The sequence below is a fragment of the Homo sapiens genome, chromosome Y (assembly GCF_000001405.40).
Source record: "Homo sapiens chromosome Y, GRCh38.p14 Primary Assembly".
Taxonomy (NCBI): domain Eukaryota; kingdom Metazoa; phylum Chordata; class Mammalia; order Primates; family Hominidae; genus Homo; species Homo sapiens.
The window spans coordinates 7,740,788-7,764,234 of NC_000024.10; the positions used below are offsets into that span (position 1 = coordinate 7,740,788).

At 40.7% G+C, this 23,447-nt stretch overlaps 1 pseudogene; it reads right to left on the reverse strand.

Annotated features, from left to right (window-relative positions):
* RFTN1P1 (raftlin, lipid raft linker 1 pseudogene 1) overlaps window positions 1-23,447 on the reverse strand; it is a 63,733-nt pseudogene that overhangs the window by 27,810 nt on the left and 12,476 nt on the right.

Sequence of the window (23,447 nt, forward strand, 5' to 3'; positions counted from 1 at the left end):
CTGCTGGTTTTCTCCCTGCCTGCTGGCCTACATACAGCCCTCACAGCAGCCAGGTTGGTCTCTGAAAGATGTGAGCCAGTTAAGGCTGCTTGTTTTAACTCTTCAATAGTGTCCCATTTAGAATAACATTCCCAAACTGAAGTTGGCCCACAGAGTCCAACAATACTTGCCCCTGAACTGGGCCTTGCCCACCTCTCAGGCCACATCCCAAACTCCTGACACCTTCACAAGCCTTTGTCTTATTTTTTTTTTTTTAACCAAAGTTTGTTCCCATCAGGGGGCCTCAGCACTTTGAAGATCCCTGTTTGGGGTGCTGTTCCCCCTTCCATCTCCCTACAACTGGTTTTCCTAGCTAGATGAGAGCTCTATGAGAACAGAAATTTTGTCAATTTTGCCTCCTACTTGGTCCTCAGCATCTAGAACTGTTCCTGGTAAACAGTAAGTACTTAGTGGGCATTTATTAAAGGAATGAATAGGTATGAGATTAAATTGGCAGTATCTGAGGTTACCGCCAAGTGGAAACATCTATGAGTCTACAATTTCAAGAAACAGCCATCTGGGGGGAATAATGTTTTGAAATTATATTCATCTGAGATGCAGAAAACTTGCACTTCATTTGCTACTCCTATCATCTTAACAGTGAAGAAAACTGAGGCCTAGAGACATTAACAGGGTTGCAGCTTCAGAGACATGTCTCAAGAAAGCATTGCTGTTAAAATGTGAGGTTCTTGGGTTTTCAGTCCACTTCTTAGGAAACCAAGTCAGTCTTCCCCTCAGGAGAAAGAAAGAGGCAGCAATAAGCAATTTGTTAACATCAGTGTTTCTTATCAGGTAAAAAATCCCTCATAATCAGGCATACCCACAGGCCTTCTTTCACAAAGGCACGAAGATGAGGCAATATAGGTCCCAAAAAACAAAACAAAGCAAAACAAAACAGCATTTTGGAGTTGCTGAGATTGACAACCCTTGTTTTATACTTTGGTAATACCAGTGAACTTGGAATTACAAGCCTGTCATTAAGAACTCAAAGGTTCATTAAGACTCCCAGGAACATTCTGGAAAACCAGCATTAGAGTCTCCATTGAAATCAAAGCTCAGCACAACAGTTAAATGAGTGAATCAATGAGTTTAAAGAATTTAACCAGGAGCAGACGTTTCTCTTCACACCACACTGCTTTAACATCCAGTATTCATGACTTTTTTACCCCCACCATTCCCTGATATACACAGGCTTCCAAAGCATTAATGAAATGCACTATAACAAAATGTTGACATGGTGCCATTGGGTATTGTCATCCTAGTTTTAACCCTTTGTTAAAAAAAAACTTTTCAATTCCCATGACTCCAGAGTAACAAAAATATAACAGGGTCCTAACGACATTTGAAACTCCCATGGTAAATGAGTACTTAGGAATGGTTTTCATTACCATGTGCTAAAAAAAATAAAATAATGTTTTATTGTTCTTTTGGAGCAATAAAACATTCTCTACCCTGGAGAACCATGGGATGGTTTTTTTTTTTTGGAAAATGGAAATGATTTGAGAGAGTTTCAGAGCACATGAAGATATGTGATCCCACTGAGTAACAAATAGGAGGTGGGGTTTTTTTGGAGCAGGAGGGAAGGAGCAGCTTTACATTAACAACTACTGAGAATTATAAATTTAAAGATTATCTTCAATGGCCAATAACTCTTATATTCAATACTGAACTTGTTTCCACTTCTTGCCTTCATTTTTATTTTTTACATATTCTCCAAGTTTTCTCCTAGCAGAAGAATGAACCAGAAATGAACATAAGCATGTCGGAATTCATGTATGTGGCAGACTTTATTTTCCAAAGATGGCCACAACAATATCTCTTGTTCCACATGGTCTGCTAGAACTTTGCCATTCCTCCATCAAGAGTTGGAACCCATGTCCCCTCTACTTGAACCACTATAGGTCTTTATGATGGCCTCAACCAATGAGTAGCTGAAAAAGACCATTATGTGACTTCCACAGGATAGTCATCAACATTCCATGAACTTTTCCCTTCTTCTCTTGTGATGTTTGCTCTTAGAACTCAGTTGCCATGTTTTGAGGAATAGCAGTCTGTGGAGAGGCCTACAGTAAACACCAACTTGCCAGCCATGTGAGTGTTTCATCTTGAAAGCAGATCCCCTAGCTACCACCAAACTACCAGTTGATACCATGAGAAATGGAGATTAGGTGCCTCTGCCAAGTCCTGCCCAAGTTGCAGATCTGTGAGCAAAATAAATAACTGTTATTGTTTTAAGCCAAAATGTTTTGGGGTGATTTTTTACACAGCAATAGACATCTTCTAAAATAAAGTAATCATCACTAATCTGTAACCATAGGAAATACCAGACTGCAATAATTTTGTAAAATGTAAAATCTATAATCCTTTATAAAAGATGCAGTTAGCAGCACTCTCAAATACACAGAAATGTAAACAAGGTTAACACAAAAACTCTCAAGAAGTGAGCCTTCAGAGATCTGCTTTAATTAAGTCGTAAAACAATTTGTAATTAGCCTCTCAGTTTGTGATGGTTCATACAAACTGCTGGAACAAGCAGGTACCCTTGAGGTAAATAAACAGTGCCCCTGCAGAATGGCTTACATTATTAATTGGCTTAGCAAACCTGTAGGCAAACTTAGGCTTAATTATTGTTTATCACGAGTTACAAATGTGCAGAGCATAAATTAATAATGATGCTTTACTATTCAAAAGTGACACAGAAAGATGTCCACATTCCCAGGCACTATCAGAGTCAGAAAGGGTCACAGAGACTCCTGTGCTTTTAACTTAAAATACACACACACACACACACACACACACACACACATATATATATGAAACAATTTTGGAAACGAAATGATGAATAGTTCCATCAAAAATCTAACTTTATTTCCACTAGGAATATATTTAAACATTTTCTTTTAAAGTTTTTCCATCTCTTCAGGTGTTTTCCATCTGACTTCTATTCCCTGTATCCTCCATGTGACAACCTTTTTCTTTCTGAAGACTCTTTCTTTCTAAAAGCTCCTTTGACTGCTGTTGCACAATAACATCCCTACTGTCCCACCAATATCACCACTATCACACTTAACAAGACCATCACTAGTACCCCAATGAATAACGCCTCTATCTCCCTCATCCCTAACATCCACACTACCCAACTCCCCCCAGCTACCTTTTCAAAATTAGGAATGCTACCATCAGGCTAACAGAATGAAGATCCAGATTGGAAAGTAATGATTTAGACGGGAAACCTCAGTTTATACTATTTTCTCATATTTCTTATGCTAAAATTATAATAATGAATTATTAAAATGCTTGAATCTTTTGTCCAACTTACATATCCTGGGTTATTTGTACAGAATACAGTACCACCCCTGTAATGGTAATGTGCCTTTTTTCTCATTCTTTTAAACAATAAGAAGTCAAAAGTCATCCAACAAATGAATCATTTAAAGTTTAGATTTTTATCACAACTTTTTTCCATGGAGTGAAAGAAGGCAATGTTTATTTTTAATCTTAAAAGGAAAACAAATGTTGTAAAAATAGTTGCCATTATTCTGAGCTCCCATTAAAGTTGTTAGTTAAATGGGAGGACAAGAATAGTTACCAATCAATCAACAAACATTGCCATATTGGATGAAGAACAGAGGGAATACTAAGAGACATGCCCAGTTAAATTCACAAAATGATGGTATATGGCACCAAAACTCAGCACACCATTAACGTAAACCTGAATTAATCAAATAAGTCTCTTTGACAATGAAAGGGAAGTCATTTAAAAGCTGAACTGACCATAAACTCACAGAATATCAGAGCTACAGGCAATCTTAGAGATTATCATTCTAGTGCAAAGGTTTTGTTTTATGGAAAAGAAAGTTAAGAATTTCAGAAAGAGAAACATCCCACCTAAATGGCTAAGTTATTAGGTAGTGGGTTTCTTTCACTGGAATCAGGAGAATACTCTGGAATTGGGTTTAAAATTCCATATTTCTTCTTGAGGAGGCAAGTCAGTTTCAGTAATTGAGTATCTAATGTCCAAGTGCTTTCTCCCATTCCTGCAGTGCCCTCTAGCCAACTTCAGCCCACTGACTCTGATCCTAGTGTAATCTGGTTCTTTGAGTGGGAATTCTCCCAAAGGCAGAAAAGGGAAAACCTTATGTGGGTTGTAATTCTGCACACTGATTCTCAACACCCTCAAAAAATATTCTACATCACCACAAGCAATAAAAATGAAACCTTCCAGTGTCAGGGAAAGATACAGCAGGCAGCTTAACTGCCTGACAAGATACATTCCATTTCTCAGATGAGACACCCACCCTCACATGCCACGAGGTTAGTTCAGATTCCCACACTCATTATCTGTGCTGGATCCCAGACAGGAGGCGTCAATGATGGGGGATATTCAGCACTTCTAAACACACAGATGGGAAAGTTCAACCTGTGCTATAAACCAATCAGCTGCCACATCTGTTTACTGATGGTGCCTAATTAACTTAAAACATGTTCCAGCTCATAAACCTTTACATATATTTAAGTATATATTACATACATACATAAAAGTTATATGTGCATATAAATATATGTACATGAATACATATATATGTATATGTATGCATCATACATAAAAATCTGGAAATTTTCCTTGTGATGACAGCAAATTCCATATTTGTAAATGTGTCTGCAGGGAGTATGAAGCATTAACAGTTGATATCCCACCCTCACAAGTCACTTCCATGGAAAGTTTTTCAACAAGTCTCAAACACCTAAAACACTGAAAAAAATCTACTTGGAGTTGCAAAAAAAGAAAATGTTAAGAGTCTCCTAGTCCTCTGTACTTCATCTTCATTGCATCACCATTCAAAGCATCTGTTCCCATATAATTCTGAGTCCCTGCAAGCCTTGGACACTCACAGGTTCTTGCTCTTTCATTCTATAAACATGCACTGAGCACATGCTAAATAACCCATTCTGAGCTCAGCATCAGAAAAAAAAAAAAAAAAAAAAAAAAAAAAAAAGGGTTGCAGCGCTGGGTGTGGTGGCTCATGCCTGTAATCCCATCACTTTGAGAGGCCAAAGTGGGTGGATCACTAGGTCAGGAGATCCAGACCATCCTGGCCAACACGGTGAAACCCAGTCTCTACTAAAAATACAATAAATTAGCTGGACATGGGGGCAGGCACCTGTAGTCGCAGCTACTTGGGAGGCTGAGGCAGGAGAATGGTGTGAACCCAGGAGGTGGAGCTTGCAGTGAGCAGAGATCCTGCCACTGCACTCCAGCCTGGGCGACAGAGCAAGACTCTGTCTCAACAACAACAACAAAACAAAAGACAAGACAAGACAAGAAACATATACACAATAACTAAGTAAAACCAATAACGTGTCTTAAGAGATGAAAGAACTTTAGGTAAAAGAAAAATAGAGGATACTAAAGGGAATCCAAAATACCAAGGTAAGAAGTGGCAGGAGGCAAGTTGCTCTTTTAAAGATAGGTGGGAAGGTAGGTACACTGAAGTAACCTGGAATGAAGATTTGAAGGGGATGAAGGAGTCAGCCAAGCAGATATCTAGGGATAGATGCACCCATAGACATTATGTTCACTGCCAAGAGTGAGACCAATATTCAGTAACTACACCATGAAACTCCAGTGCACATAAGCTGGAAAGTGAAAAAGACCATTTATAAACAGTCATACACTATACAGCCTACATATAACCTGGTGATCTCCTGGATTTTAGCCCCTAAAATGTTATTTCTAAAAAATGAGGGAATTGCTCTAGACATGTATACACTTTCAAGATCTCTCACAATTTAAGGACTCTCTTGGTTACTTTATTTTAAATAACAAGATGCTTATTGGGGAAAAGATATTAATCAGAGGTAGTTTGGCACATTTGTTGAAGTAAGCTGATGGACTTCATTTTTTTAAGGAGTAAATTAAATCTAAGAACAATTTAAAATAATTCCTACAACATGGGAAACAATTTGAAGTGCTATAGTAGGCAATCTTCCTAATGATGGTTTTAAAAAAGCAATGCAGGGCCGGGCGTGGTGGCTCATACCTCTAATCCCAGCACTTTGGGAGCCTGGGATAGGAGGATCTTTGAGGCCAGGAAAGGCATTTGAGTCCAGTCTTGGTAACACAGCATGACTTCATCTCTATAAAAAAAATCTTTAGAAAATTACCTGGGTGTGGTGCTGCATGCTCGTAGTCCTAACTATTTGGGAGGTTGAGCGGGGAGAATGGCTTGAGGTCAGGGTTTGAGGCTATTGTGAGGTATGACTGCACCACTGCCTCCAGCTTGGGCAACACAGTGAGACCCTGTCCCTTAAAAAAAAAAGCAAGCAGGAATTCTACACACAAATGAACACAAAGGAACCACTGTGACATGAATGAATCTCACAGACACAGTGCTGAGCAAAAGATATCATTTATACAAACAGGCGAAACCACCCTTTGGTGTTAGAAGTTAGATAGAGGTTTCCTTTGGAAGGGGAATGGGGAATTGCAGGCGTGGCTACAGGAAGGGTTCAAGCTGTTGCTCCTGCTCTATTAATATTTGTTGACTTGAGTGTTAGCTACCCAGGTGTGTTCATTTTGTGCTAACTCACTGAGCAGTACACTTATGATTTATGCACTCTCCTGTATTGATGTTATCTTCAATAAAAAGAGCTGTTTTCTTTCTTTTTTTTTTTTCAGAGCAATGTGAAGTGTTTCCATTACGGAGATTTCTTATTGACATGAGCTGGACAAGAAAAAAAATAACTATCCTAATGTTATGTGAATGAGCACTTTTGACTCAGGACAGAGTTTCCACAGATGCATGATTTATGAACATTTGAAGTGCTGAATCCCAAACAATTTGGATGATAGTAAATAGAATGAGCTTGAAACTGTGTTAGATGGCCCCAAAAATCATGCTGGTGATGATAAAACCAACCAAGTGCAACAATGCGTGAAAAAAAAGTACAGAAATAAAATTATTCCATGAGATATAAACAAGGGAACAGCACCATTTCCAAGTTTATACAATTTATATAATTTAAAATATGCATGTGCAACTAAATTAATAATATTATAAGCAGAAATTAATTATTTCAAATATATTCCTAAAATGCTATATGCCAAAGCTGGCCTCAAACTTTTTAAGATTTTTTCATGGGAAAAATAGGAGATTGTCTTTTAGATCTTGGCAAACATGTCATATGTTGTTCTGTGCTCTGCATCCCCTTATAACTGAGAAGACTCAATCAAAAATGCTTTCTGTCAACTTAGAAAACATGAAAAACTGAAAATTGTTTAAGTGAATAAATTCTGCAAAAATATGCTGTCCAAGATAGTAGCCATTAGCCATATGTGGCTATCAAGCACTTAAAATATTGGAGTGCCTCAAAGCTGTTCCCTCGGTGAAGGATTAGCTCCAGGCCTCGCCGCCCAGGTCCTGCTGTTGGAAATTGCCTCATCCTGCCTGTGGGAGAAAGCCACACTCCCTGCTGTTGCCCAGGCAAGACATTTCTACAATGATTTTTTCCCAGAATTCAGATCATAGGGTAAATTCCACCTCTAGGATGTCCCTATACAGGTTGATTATTTGCAGCATTCCAGAGATGGCTCTATTTCTACAGAAAGCTGCATGAGTTATAAAAACACTTGTGTTCTCATGCTTATGCACAGGTGAACAAAAGCTAATCCCCGCCGCCACCAGTTTCTTAAATAATAATCTGAATTCTACCAGATTAGAAAGAGCCTCCCTCATCCTAGTAAAATTACCAGCAATTCTGTCCTCAGAGATCATCTGGCTCCCGGTCTATGGGCCTTAGATCCTTTATACATGAGCGACTGCTCCTAGAGGCCCCAGAGCCTGAACACTCAATACATCTTGAAGGGAGGGTGGCAGGAAAGAAACAAATCTCCATTAAAGGGACAACCCAATCACTTCGCTGTTCTACAAAATTCTTCTCAACAGCTTCCCGCTGCTTTTACAGCCCAGTCCCAGCTGTCTCTGGCCTCTTCTCCTGACCTTCACTCTCCCTCTGACGTTCTTTTGATTCCTGTCACTGCTTCCTGCCTCAGGCCCTCTTGTATGCTGTTCCCTGTTTAGAGGACTCCCCAAACTGCCCAAGCACAGCCACATCGCCAAAGACACCCATTCATCCTTCCCATCTCAGCTCCAGGTAACTTCCTGATCCCACACTAGGAAGGGAAGGGGACTGGCAGTAATGAAGATTCGCAGATAAGACATAGATAAGAGGAAGGTGGGATCTGGGAAGTCACACCACCTTGAGGGTTTGAAAGGAGTCCTGGCACGAGCCTGCAGGTCTCTCAGTTGTTAACCCCACTCCAGCTTGAAAAGACAGGACCCAGGCTCCTACATGCCTGGGGAACAGGGGCTAGCCACCTTGCTCTAGAGTCAGTTCTGGAGTGGGCCACTCCCCAGTGGGGCTGCCAAAGATTTAGGTCATGGCTCCTGCATGGCCTCTCGAGTGTGGCTGATTTGCCCTAAACCAGCTCCCCGACCATTCACTCAGGTGGCCACCATGCCCGGCCAGTGATCACCTTCTTAATGAACTCTGGTAAGAGCTTCTGGTCTGTCAGGTGGTCTAAGGAGGAACAGCAATCTAATTCCAAGATGTAGCCTTCATTGTGAAGATCTGTTTTCTGAGACATGAAGTGAAAGAAAAGCATGCACACACACAGATTAATATTTTGCATAAATTTGAGACCGAGTCTCGCTCTTGTCACCCAGGCTGGAGTGCAATGACGTGATCTCAACTCACTGCAACCTCCGCCTCCTGGGTTCAAGCAATTCTCCTGCCTCAGCCTCCCGAAGAACTGGGATTACAGGTGCCCGCTACCATGCCTGGCTAACTTTGTATTTTTAGTAGAGACAGGGTTTCACCACATTGGACAGGCTGGTCCTTAACTCCTGACCTCAGGTGATCTGCCTGCCTTGGCCTCCTAAAGTGCTGGGGTTATAGGTGTCAGGCACCGTGACAAGTTGGATATTTTTTTTTTCAAAGAATCACTGGGTCTTTAATGAAGACCCAAATTCTTTCCTGAAAGTAATGTCAAAAAGGCACTGAAGAAAAAGTGTTTCTAGAAACAACTCAAGTAATATATACAGATATGCATCATAGAAAGATCTCCAAGATGTAGCATCATGTATAACATATCATTATAGAATGATGGGTTTGGTACTATATAGCTTATATGTTATCCTCTCTCTCTCTCTCTCTCTCTCTTTCTCTCTCTCTCTCTCTCTCTCTCTGTCTCTCCAGTAATGCCTATTTCCCATTGGTTTATATCTGCCAGGCCACACAAAAAGAAATAGCAAGACATATATCAAACCAATAATAGCAGGTACCCCTGGGGAACAGGGAGGGCTTATGTGGGAACGGGGGCTGGGTGGTGACGGTAGGTGTGTGGGGTGGTGATCGAAAGTGACTTTAGTTATAATCTCTTTCTTTTCATTTTTAAATGAAAATGACATATTTGTATATCACTTAGAAAATTAAAAAATAATTTTTAAAAGACTTTAAAAGGATTCAACCCGTTCAGAGGGCAATCTGGCAAAATCTATCAAAATTAAAGATGCATTAAATAAACACTACCAAGCAACTAAAAGAAATTCTGGGAAAACAGTGTAGGTGTAAAGGGCTGTTTGAGGTGAAGGCCTGTGATCCTGCTGTCAACAGAGAGACTTCTCAGCACACCCTGCCATCTCTGCACAAAGGGGCTGCTTTCCAAAGCAACACCACATAGACATCCCTGTGATATAGCACAGTTCAAAACTGTGCGCATTCAGGAGAGCCAGCAGCAGGTGGTCACCAAGAGGAAATTCCAGCACTTCACAGCCATTCACAGGCAGGGCTCCTGTATGACACTATAGTGGAAGGCGTGTGGTTGTCACAAATTGAAGGGGATTCCTTGGCCCAGACAGGTATAAGGCAACAAGACTGGTACTGCAGCTAAAGGCTGGTTGAATGCACCGTCTCTCCTGGGTTGCTGGTGGTTACTGGGGAGTGGGAATTAGAGACAAAGACTCCGGGCTTCTTATCCACGGCTCATCTACACAGCTAATCTGCCCTGGTGGAGGAGGGAGCAGAGCCCTCCTGGACCACTTATGAGGCTGCTCTACCAAAGAGGCACCCCTGCAGCCCCTGTGAGAGCAGGACTGTCCAGAAAATCTGTAAAGCAGGCACTTCCACACTGAACTCCTGAGATACATGCATCTCACCAGTTTCTAATTGTTTATTTGCTACAACATTTTTCAATGAACTTCTAAGATTCTCATACAGCTTTTAAATGAACTTCTAAGATTCTCCTATAGCATTAAAAGCAATTTAAGATACCATTAACAATTTGTGTATGATTTACCTTAAATTTAAAAGTGAAAAAAATTACAGAGGATTTGATTTTCCCCAGGTGTGCACCTGTGATTTGGTAAGCAAACTTCAATAGCTTGTTTTTGTTTTTTCTTCTAACATACCCTCTGAACAGTTGGGTACTATGGTGCACACATTCAAAATGTAAAAGAATAAACTGATTTCAACTGGTACAAACTAATCCAAAAGAATAAATCAATTCTGAACCCTAAACTTTTTGCGTTAATACTTTATTAGGGACTAGACTCATGTTCTCATCTCCTCCCCAAACAAAAGACATATTAAGAGGAACTAAGGCAGGTGATTCCAGACTTTTGAAAAAGAAGACTTGGTCAAGACACACTGTCATAAGTATCATGCGAGGTCTCAAACAACAAAAAACAGGATGAGGGAGGGGGGTTCTGAAATCTAAAATCTGGCTGCTCTGTTACATGGAAACTAATGTCAGAGGTTATTTAGAGGTTATATAGATATGAGATCAGTTAGAAATATCCATTGAGATTTCAAACGAATAGGCTAAAAAACTGTAATCATTTTAAATAAGTTAATGCTGTATCAATTAAGTACAACATTCACAGGATGAACAAAAGGGAGACAAGTCTGTCTGTAAGCAACTCGCAGCCCAGATCAATTCTAGGGAATAATATTTAGCACAGAATCTAATAAGTACCATCTTTGGTTCTGGAACAAGAAGTTCTATAACAAGAAAGGAAGCTCTGGTTCATTTCATCAAATAATTAACTCAGTAACATCTGAACAGAAATGAGCACAAACAATGAAGAAAAATAGGCATTACAATTTTTTTAGATGAACCATGGAAAATTACATCTCAGCCTATGGTTTCCTGGAAAAGAAAATCTAATCCATATTGGAGGAATAAGTGAGCAAGTAATAGACATTCTCCTGTCTTTGGGAATTAGCTCCTCATTTGCAATGAAAGGATTATAACACTGAAGAATGACTGAAAGGGAGACGAAGAGGCAAGGATCCCTAAACACCTTGAGGACAGATGCTGGCTGCCAAGCCATGAAGTCAGCACTCTGTGATGGTGCAGCTGTGGCCTCATAGAAGAAGAGCTGAAGGCAGAAGGAGCAGTCAAAGAGAAACTCTCTCCTTATCACTAACCCTATGAAAAACAGCATTAAATCCACCAGTAAACACAAATGGGGCTGCCAGAGGGAGATTCTGGAATTCCCAGCATGGGAGGTTGGGGGTGAGGTGGTGTTGGGGGGACCATGGTTGCTGTGGCAAACACACCCTGAGATGGCCCCCTCCCAACAATCCCTACCTCCTGGTGTTCACACTTTTGTGCAATCTAGCCCCTTGAGTGGGGGCAGGGCCTGTGACTTGAACCTACTCAATAAAACATGCTAAAGGTGATGGATGTTGCTCCTGGGATGGCATTATGTTATATGACTCCCTCTGAGCTGGAGATGCCTTTACTGGTTTTGAAGAAGAAAGCTGTCAGGAAGAAAGAGAGAGCCATATGGCAAGGAACTCTGGGTAGCCCCTGGCCAACAGCTGCAAGAAAACAGAGATTCCAGTCCCACAACTACAAGGAGATGAATCCTGCCAACAAACTGAAGGAGGCTGGAAGTGGGGCTTTCCTCAGTTGAGCCTCTGAGGAGACTGCAACCCAAGTCAACAGTGATACTACCTGATAAATCCTGAAGCAAAGAACCCCGATGAGCTACAGAAACTGTATGATAATGAATATGTATTTTTTTATTATACTTTAAGTTTTAGGGTAGATGTGCACAACGTTCAGGTTAGTTACATAATGTAGACATGTGCCATGTTGATGTGCTGCACCCATCAACTCGTCATTTAACATCAGGTATATCTCCTAATGCTATCCCTCCCCTCTTCCCTTACCCCACAACAGGCCCCGGTATGTGATGTTCCCCTTCCATACGTATTGTTTTGAACCATGAAATGTGTTATAATTTATTACAGAGCATAGAAAATTAATACCTGTTATGGGAAGTCAGGGACCCTGAACGGAGGGACTGGCTGGAGTTGTGGCAGAGGAACATAAATTGTGAATATTTCATTTTAATATGGACATTTATCAGTTCTCAAATAATACTTTTATAATTTCTGATGCCTGTCTTTAATATCTTAATCCTGTTATCTTCGTAAGCTGAGGATGTACATCACCTCAGAACCACTGTGGTAATTGTGTTAACTGTAGAAATTGATTGTAAAATATGTGGGTCTGAACTACATGAAATCAGTGCACCTTGAAAAAGAACAGAATAATAGCGATTTTTATGGAACAAGGGAAGACAACCATAAGGTCTGACAGCCTCAGGGTCGGGCAAAAAGAGCCATATTTTTCTTCTTGCAGAGGGCCTATAAATGGACGTGCAAGTAGGAAACATATTGCTAAATTCTTTTCCTAGCAAGGAATATTACTATTAATACCCTGGGAAAACAATGCATCCCTTGGGGGAGGTCTATGAAGGGCCTCTCTGGGAATGTCTGTCTTGTGTGGTTGAGATAAGGACTGAGATAATCACTGGTCTCCTGCAGAACCCTCAGGCTTACTAGGGTTGGGAAAACTCAGCCCTAGTAAATTTGTTGTCAGACTGGTTCTCTGCTCTTGAACCCTGTTTTCTGTTGTTTCAGATGTTTATCAAGACAATAGGCGCACTACTGAACATAGACCCTCATCAGCGGTTTTGCTTTTGCCCTTTGCCCTGTTTCCTCAGAAGCATGTGATCTTTGTTAGACCCTTATCAGTGGTTCTGCTTTTTGCACTTTGAAGCATGTGATCTTTGTACCTACTCTCTGTTCTTACAACCCCTCCCCTTTTGAAACCCTTAAAAACTTTCTGGTCTGAGACTCAGGCAGGCATCATGGTCCTCCTGATATGTGATGTCAACCCTGGAAGCCCAGCTGTAAAAGTCCTCTCTTTGTAGTGTCTCTCTTTATTTCTCAGCCAGCTAACACTTATGGAAAATAGAAAGAACCTACGTTGAAATGTTAGGGGTGGGTTCTCCCAATAAATACCAAAAAGAAAAAAGAAAACTAATACAGTCCCTGAGGAGGAAAACATGGCAGGTTCATTCTCAGAACAGGCCACCCACTGTTGGCCAGGCCTAGGCCCAAACCCACAAAATCCAGCCAGACATCTGACAGCAGCTTCCCTCAAGTGAGGAATGTTCTGTGTCACTGAGGGCAGGGACCATCCTGCGAGACAGAAGTGGACATGACCTAGAATTGACCTCCAGGGGCCATGGCCTGCTTGTCCGAGATACCACAGGACAAAGGAATAAGTATTCCGCTCTCAATCTAGTTTCTATGGAAGATGCATTAACCTGAAACTCCCAGCTGAGCAGGCATTGCCACCTTCCTGTGTGGGATGGGAAATACTAGGTATGCTCCCCAAAGGGCCATATCATTTTATCATCCTGGAAAAGAATATGGGAAACCACCAAACTTCTCCTGGACAGAAGGCCAAATGGCTTCCAATTTTGGAAGATCTGGGTTTAAATAATAGGGAAAAGAAACCATAGAATGCATTTCTGGAGACACACATAGGGTTAACTAACAGCAAAAGCCTCCCAACCTACTTTATCTGGAAATTAACATTAAGCACTATCCAGTTAAATAAAGGCACTCTGAGAAGAGCCTGGCTAATCATAAAATATGCTTCCGCATCACACTCCATCGCCAACATGGTAAATTCCAATAAATTTATTAGTTAGAGGCTACAGGTGTTAGAGCTAACTACACCATACACCAAAAATCAGCTGTGAACCTTTGGACAATTTACTTAAACTTTCTGTTCTTCAGTTTATTTCACTATTGAATGGGATATTACATGGAGCTATCTCTGAACATTGCTATCTCTTAACATTGCTGTAAGGATTAAATGGGACAAAAAGATGCAAAGCCCCCAGCTCAGAAGCACAACATGAGGCTCAACAAATCCTACCTGCAGCTGATCTATTACTATCATCTAAAATTCTGTTCTTACTTTTCCTTTCTAGCACTTTTCACCATTCATAATTACTCATAGATTCATTAAATATATACCACACTACTATGTATCAGGTACTATAATTTAGCATTCATCAATAGACAGAAGTGACAAAATCTCTGCCTTTGCAGAGCTAATAATCTAACAGGAGGAAAAAGACAACAAACAATACACATGCATGAGCACCTAACGTGGAATTATGCCCAACCGTGGAAAGTTAAAAAAAAAAAAAAGAAAATAAGAGAAAGAAAAAGAAAAGAAAAGAAAAGAAAAGGTCTGGGCATGGTAGCTCACACCTATAATCCTAGCACTTTGGGAGGCTGAGGTGGGAGGATCACCTGAAGTCAGGGGTTCAAAACCAGCCTGGCCAACATGGACAAAACCCATCTCTACTAATAATACAAAAATTAGCACACATGGCGGTGCATGCCTGTAATTCCAGCTACTTGGGAGGCTGAGATAGGAGAATCACTTGAACCCAGAAGGCGGAGGTTGCAGTGAGCTGAGATCATGCCACAGTACTCCAGCCTGGAGGACAAAGTGAGACTTTGTCTAAAAAAAAAAAGAAAAAAGAAAAAAAAGAAACAGAGCAGGGTAAGGAGAATGGCAGGGGCTGCAGGGAGACAGTTGTAGATCTAATAAGGGTGGTCAGGATAGCAGCACTGAGGAGATGAAATTTAGAATAAAGATTTCCAGGAGGTAAGGGACTGGGACACGGTAATATCCAGGGCATGAGCTCTCTATGCAGAGGGAACAACAGTTCATGCAAAGGCCCTAAGCTGAGGTCATGAAAAGAAGCCCTGTTGCTGGGGCCCAGTGCAGAAGGGCGCAGGAAGGAAAACACAGTTGGAGAGCCTAAGGGGAGCTGGATAGTATAGACCTTCAGGCCACAGTGAAGACAATGGCTTTTATTCAGAATGACAGAGGAAGTCTGCGTAGGGTGTGGGACAGAGAAATGTCATGATCTCCTGAGTGTTAAAAAGGATCCTTCTGGCTATAGGGGGAAGCCGGGACCCCATCTAAGTGGTCCAGGCAGGAGATGATGTAGCTCAGAGTGGGTTGGCAAAAGTGTCCTAGAAGCAGTGAGAAGTGCTGGGTTCCAGTTACATTTTCAGGGTGAAACCTTCAAAATTTGCAAACAAACAGGTTGCGTGGTGTGGAAGGAGGAAAGAGGATGAAGATGACTCCAGGATCCTGTCCCTAGCAACTGAGAGAATCGGTGACTTTGCCAGAACTATGATGGGGAAGGGTTGGGTGGCACAGGCCTAGGGGGGAAGAAAGATAATTCAAATTTCAGATATGTTGAATATGACATATCCAGAAGATATCCAAGTTGAGATGTCTGGTAGATATTTGAATATCTATATATATACATACACACACATACACACAAACATGCACATGCATACATACTTGAATATATGTACTGAAGTCTGGACTGCAGGAGAGGCAGCTGGAGATATAAATTTGGGAGTCATGGAGTCATCAGCCCCAGGTATTACTTAAAGCATGAGGCTACATGAGATCTCCATTAATGTAGAGAGAGAAGAGTTAAGAATTTAATTCTGGGACCCTCCACCATGAAGAGGGTAGGGAGAAAAGCGGATAAATCACCCAAAAGATAAGAAAGAATAACCAGGGAAGAAGGAAGAAAACCAAGAGAACTTGTTTGTTTTCCCAGAAGTCAAATCAAGGGAGTAAGACAAGGAGAAGGGTATGAGACACCCTGTCAATTTCTTCAGTTAAGAAACTTATAATCTTCTCTGGAATTTACTTATCTTCTTGAAATCACAAGAGGGAAACTGGATTTAATCCACCCTATGCAAATAGGTGTGAAGAAATCTGTCAATCTGTTTATGTGATTATCTGGCAGATAATCATCTAAATTTGGCAAACTGTCAAATTTAAATGTTGATTTGGAATCAGAATTGCTTGGCTCCTTGAAAAACAAAAAACAACAACAACAAAAAACACATCATTTGCTGCCGAGTCATTTTTCAGAAACAGTCTTGGAAAAAATTAACTAAAAAGAGCTCTGACACATCTCATATCTTGGGACTCCCACTTATATAGGGCACTGGAGAGTTGAGAGGCTCTACTTCACCATTCCAAAGGAATTTTCTAAAAGAAGTGATAATAAAAGGATACTACTGGCAGATGTGATTTCCTGGAAATCAAGAATGAACAGGACAAAATGAACTCAAATCCTTGGAGTATAGCAAAATAGTTTGAACAATGCACATAAACAGTGGTTCTGACTGTTGGAGGCAATGGAGAAGCAACGAAGACATCCAAACCCTGTTAAAAAGCCACGGCAACATGACAACTAAATGCAGTTTAGTACCCTGGATTGGATCCTGGAACTGAGAAATGACATTCATAGAAAAATGGTAAAATCCAAATAAAATCTACAGTTTAATTAATAGTGAAGTACCACTGTCAATTTCTTAGTTTGACAAATATAGTATGGCAGTGTAAGATACTAATTGTAGTGGGAAACTAGGTGAAACACATATGAGAGTTCTCTGGAATACCTTTGCAACTTTTCTGTGAAATCTCAAGTTATTCCTAGGCAGGGTACATTGTATCTGCCACTCCCCTAGAGATTATCTTTGGGTGATAACTGAACAAGTCCATGGAAAAGGGAAAAATAGAAAGAATGACTTACATAGATGAGTAATATAAACTCTTGTATTCTAAGAGGAAAATGAACCTTAAAGGAAAAAAACCAGGGATAATGAAATAGAAGACTGGGGTCTGTGCCTTCTCTGGTCAGAAAAACACAAAACTTCTTCCAACTTCTTACTTTCCTCACTTTTTAATTTTTTTTATTATGGTAAAATATACATCACATAATATTAACCATTTTAATCATTTTTTAAGTCTACAATTCAGTGTCATTAAGTACATTCGCAATGTACTTAATAGCAGTCACCATCACTATCCATTACCAGAACTGTTTGTTTGTTTTTTTTTTTGAGATAGTGTCTTACTCTGTTGCCCAGGCTGGGGTGCAGTGGCATGATGAAGGGCTCACTGCAGTCTCAACTTCCTGGGCCCAAGCAATCCTCCCACCTTGGCCCCCGAAGTAGTCAGTACTACAGGAACATGTCACCATGCCTGGCTAATGTTTTTGGAATTTTTGTAAAGATGAATTCTCCCTATCTTACCCAGGCTGCTCTCAAACTCCTGAGCTCAAGAAATCCTCCTGCCTCAGCCTCCCAATGTGCTGGGACGACAGGCATCAGCCACCTCAACTGGCCTCCAGAACTTCTTTGTCATTACAAACAGTCCTCATTTCTTTAACATCTTATATGTAGAACTTGAGACAAAGTTGAATATAGCAAGTAAAAAACCACACACACATTAAATAAGTGACATCATATGTCAAACATATGAAAGTAGATTTAAACACTGAGCACTTGTACACAAGCCTTTCCTATCTGCAAGGAAGGAGAGAGCAAAGAGCCCATGTGCCCATGTGCCAGAGAAATTCAAATGTCAACACAACTGGTCACAGATGTCAGTGTTGTTTCTAAACATGATAAAATACCACCTATTCTGTGTCGGGTTGACCTCATTACTCACACATAAACATCAACTGTAATGCAAACTGTGTGCAAACTCAGAGACACACTTGGAGATCTTCACTCACCACCACCCTAGTGTCTGCCAAGGGTTGTGTAGTTATTCTCCAAGCAGGGGAAGGGTTGGAGGGAAAAGCAAGGGCCTCAAACTCAAAGGCCTATGGGCAATCTATAAAAGATTCTTTTTAAAACCAAAGTACATAATCTAGACATTTTTTTCTCATATAAAAGATAGAGGAATGTCCACCAAGAAATATGTTCTCCTCTAATTTTCTTCAAATACAGAGTGCTGTCAGATTCCCTTTCACAGTCTCACTACTGAGAGCAATGTGGTTGCAGAGAGACTTGTCTCTGCCGTGAGAAAATCACGCAAGCAGATAATACATGGTGAGTGCTATGTTGCTACCATGCTGAGGACACAATGAGATACGTGGAAACCATGGTAAACTAGGCAGTTTATATCCCAAACATTACTAGAAATTCCAGGCCAGAGTTGCCAAATCTTACAATTTTTCAAAAGAAGCCTTTAAATTGTGTTTATATGTAGCTCATAACTGTCAGGTTTTTGCTCCAAACAATATTTTCTTCATGTTATGTGGGCCAACAGCTTTCAGATTGAACTTGACCTCTCAACCACCAGTCTGTGGTCTCTGAGTTACATACACAAGCTCCAATGTGAGTGACAGAAGGCTGAACACCAGGCCGTAAGTAACAGTGAACAGATTATCTAATTGTATCATGATCAAAATAATGAACCCATAAGCCCAATGCAATATGCATTCATTGTAATGACTCAGTAGATTGCTACCTTCGGAGGTCCTCACTACCCTTAAAGACGATGTCTGACCCGCACCATTTTTTTTCTTTTGAGACAGAATGTCACTCTGTTGCCCAGGCTGGAGTGCAACGGCATGATCTCAGCTGACTGCAGCCTTCCAGGCTCAAGCAATCCTCCCATCTCACCCTCCTGAGTAGCTGGGACTATAGGTGTGCACCACCACACCTGGCTAATATTTATATTTTTTGTAGAGATGGGGTTTTGACATGTTGCCCAGGCTGGTCTCAAATTCCCAGGCTCAAGTGATCCTCTAGCCTTGTCTTCCCAATGTTCTAGGATTACAGGTGTGAGCCACCATGCCCAGCCTTGTCTGACACATTTAAACAGCCCCTCACTCCACTGTCACAGTGGTGAGACTTAATCCTTTCCTAAAACATTAAAATAACATTTTTGTAACAAGTACTGCTAATGCTTATGAGTGCTTTAAGTATTGATAATTATCATTGGCAAAAGAGATAACCCTCAAGATATTGACAAGTGCCAAGCAGCAAGTTGGATATGTATTTTGGCCTCATGGGAAGATCTAAAATGAGGCCACCAAAAAACAACTGCCTGTCAGAAAACTTTCATAAAGTATACTTCTAAAAAGTAAATATGTGACTAAAAACTATCATATACATCACAGTTTAAATAATAAACACCTAATAAATCCCATTTCGGCTCATAAATCCCTGAGACACCTTCAAAGACCATGAGTTTAAACAATGTTTTCTTTTTCCCAGGACATTAGGGAGTTATGAAAAGGAAAGAGAATGTGCAGTTCATCAATAGGGTTATTTTTGCTTCATTTAGAAATAATCAAAAGAAATGGTGACAAACAAAAACAGATTACTAGGCACTTCTCCAACCAGGCAAAAAAATCCTACATGTCAGTTGACAGAAACAAATTCTCTATCTCTGGGAAACAGGAAGGAATTTTAAGATTTTTTTTTTCCCAAAGCAATACCAAGCTCGAATAGAATAATCAGAACAGCTATTTTTAAAAAAGTATTAGGGGGAGAAATTAGCAATAGATCTGAAAAAGATTTGTCAATGAAAGAAAAAGAAGGCTATGCCTAGTTTCATTAGCTTATGTATAACAATGACAATAAAGATCTCCCTTATTCATTCATCTGCGTGAATGCTGACCACATATGAGGGATTCAAGGTGCTGCCCTCAAGTCTAGATCCTGCCCTCAAGTCTTGACAGACTGTATATAAACAGAAGTGCTATAAGAATTCAATTGTTTCCAGTGTTAAGGATCAGGGGAAAATATAAGGAGCAAGGCACATGTGAGCTTAATCTTTGAGGCTATATGGAAGTTAGTCATGAGACAATGGATAAAAGGACATTTTAGGCATGAGAACAGAAATTACTGAAGATCTGGATTGAGAAATGCATGAGTTATATGATAGAAATAATAAATAGATCAGTTAGGCAAAAGGTGTGTGAAGATGCATGTTGCCTGTAACTCAGCAGGGGCTGTAATGATGAGCGTAGGGAATGTGTGGGTGAATCCACTGTTAGAATGAGTGTGTGCTTGTGGGCTCTGCAGTGACCAGGGCAGAATTGTGGGAAACACAGTTAGTGAGAAAGGATGGGAGTCGCCTTAACTGTGAAGAAAGAAGAGTCACAGGTGGCCTTAGAGTGAAAGATTCTGGGAAGCTTAAGCAGGCAGCATTGTGTATGATGTAGGAAGAAAGAAAGAATATTAGAACAGCAGGTGTGAGAACTGTGCTGAGATTTTTGTCTAATGGAGTGGGTGGGTAGAAGAGAGGTATTTCTTGTTCCTGCAATTGGTGGTAGTTGTGGGCAGGGTAATAACCTGCACCTCCCCAAAGATGGTCCCAGAACAATAGGGAAAGATTTCCCACAATTTTATGAACCCTCTTTGCAAAATGAACAAAATCTACACAAATACAATGAGACTGCGGGAGTTAAACGTTTCCCCTATAACGAAACTTAAGAAATACTTAAGGAGGTCCATCTCAAGATGGCCAAATAGGACAGCTCCAGTCTGCAGGTCCCAGTGTGATCAGTGCAGAAGATGGATGATTTCTGCATTTCCAACTCTGAGGTACCTGGTTCATATCACTGGGACTAGTTGGACAGTGGGTGCAGCCCCTGGAGGGTGAGTTGAAGCAGGGCAGGGAGTCACCTCGCCCAAAAAGCAATAGGGGATAGGGGATTTCCCTTTCCTAGACAAGGGAAGCCATAACAGACTGTACTTAGAAAAACAGGACACTCCTACCCAAATACTGCACTTTTTCCATGGTCTTAGCAAGAGGCAGACCAGGAGATTCTCTCCTGTGTCTGGCTTGGTGGTCCCACACACATGGAGCCATGCTCACTGCTAGGGCAGCAGTCTGAGATCTACCTGCGAGGCTGCAGCCTGGCAAGGGGAGGGGTGTCCACTATTCCTGAGGCTTGAGTAGGTAAACAAAGCAGCAGGGAAGCTTGAACTGGGTGGAGCCCATAGCAAATCAGCAAGGCATACTGCCTCTATAGACCCCACATCTGTAGGCAGGGCATAGCTGAACAAAAGGCAGCAGAAACTTCTGCAGACTTAAATGTCCCTGTCTGCTAGCTCTGAAGAGGGCAGTGGTTCTCCCAGCAGGGCGTTTGAACTCTGAGAATGGACAGACTGCCTCCTTAACTGGGACCCTAACCCCCATCTAGCCTGACTGGGAGACACCTCCCAGTAGGGGCCAACAGACATCTCGTACAGGCAAGTTCCCCTCTGGGACAAAGCTTTCAGAAGAAAGAACAGGCGGCAATATTTGCTGTTCTGCAATATTTGCTGTTCTGCAGCCTCTGCTGGTGATACCCAAGCTAACAGCATTTGGAGAGGACCTCCAGCAAACTCCAACTGACCAGCAGCTGAGAGGCCTCACTGCTAAAAGGAAAACTAACAAACAGAAAGGAATAACTTCAACAACAAAAATGACATCCACACAAAAACCCCATCTGTAGGTCACCAACATCAAAGACCAAAGCTAGATAAAACCACAAAGATGGGGAGAATCCAGAGTAGAAAAGCCGAAAATTCTAAAAATCAAAGTGCCTCATCTCCTCCAAATGATCGCAGCTCCTCACCAGCAATGGAACAATGCTGGATGGAGAAGGACTTTGACAAGTTGATAGAAGTAGGCTTCAGAAGGTCAGTAATAACAAGCTTCTCCGAGTGAAAGGAGCATGTTCTAACCCATTGCAAGGAGCTAAAAACCTTAAAAAAGGTGAGATGAATGGTTAACTAGAATAAACAGTGTAGAGAAGACCTTAAATAACCTGATGGAGCTGAAAAGCATTTCACAAGAACTTCACGACACATGCACAAGCTTCAATATCCGATTCGATCAAGTGGAAGAAAGGATATCAGCAGCACAACAAAAAGCTTATCCACCACAATCAAGTTGGCTGGGATGCAAAGCTGGCTCAACATAAACAAATCAATAAACATAATCCATCACAAAAACAGAACCAATGATAGAAAACACATGATTATCTCAATAGATTCAGAAAAGGGTTTCAAAAAACTCAATAGCCCTTCATGTTCAAAACTCTCAATAAACTAGGTATTGATGGAACATATCTCAAAATATTAAGAGTTATTTATGACAAACCCACAGCCAAAATCATACTGAATGGCCAAAAATTGGAAGCATTCCCTTTGAAAACCAGCACAAGCCAATGATGCCCTCTGTCACCACTCCTATGCATCATAGTGTTGGAAGTTCTAGCCAGGAAAACCAAGCAAGAGAAAGAAATAAAGGGCATTCAATTAGGAAAAGAGGAAGTCGAATTGTCCCTGTTGCAGATGACATGATAGTATATTTAGAAAACCCCATTGTTTCAGCCCCAAATGTCCTTAAGCTGATAAGCAACTTCAGCAAAATCTCAGGATACAAAATCAATGTTCAAAAATCATAAGCATTCCTACAAACCAATAACAGACAAACAGAGCCAAATCATCAGTGAACTCCCACTCACAATTGCTATAAAGAGAATAAAATACCTAGGAATCCAACTTACAAGGGATGTGAAGGACCTCTTCAAGGAGAACTACAAACCACTGTTCAATGAAATAAAAGAGGATACAAACAAATGGAAAAACATTCCATGCTCATGGGTAGGAAGAATCAATATTGTGAAAATGGCCATACTGCCCAAGGTAATTTATAGATTCAATGCCATCCCCATCAAGCTATCAATGACTTTCTTCACAGAATTGGAAAAAAAACTACTATGAAGTTCATATAGAACCAAAAAGTGCCTGCCTAGGCAAGACAATCCTAAGAAAAAAGAACAAGGCTGGAGGCATCATGCTATCCGGCCTCAAACTGTATTACAAGGCTACAGTAACCAAAACAGCATGATACTTATACCAAAACAGATATATAGACCAATGAAACAGAACAGAGTCCTTAGAAATAACATGACACATCTACAACCATCTTATCTTTGACAAACCTCATGAAACAAGAAATGGTGAAATGGTTCCCTATTCAATAAATGGTGCTGGGAAAACTGGCTAGCCATATGTAGAAAGCTGAAACTGGATCTCTTTCTTACGCCTTATACAAAAATTAATTCAAGATGGATTAAAGACTTAAATGTTAGACCTAAAACGATAAAAACCCTAAAGGAAAC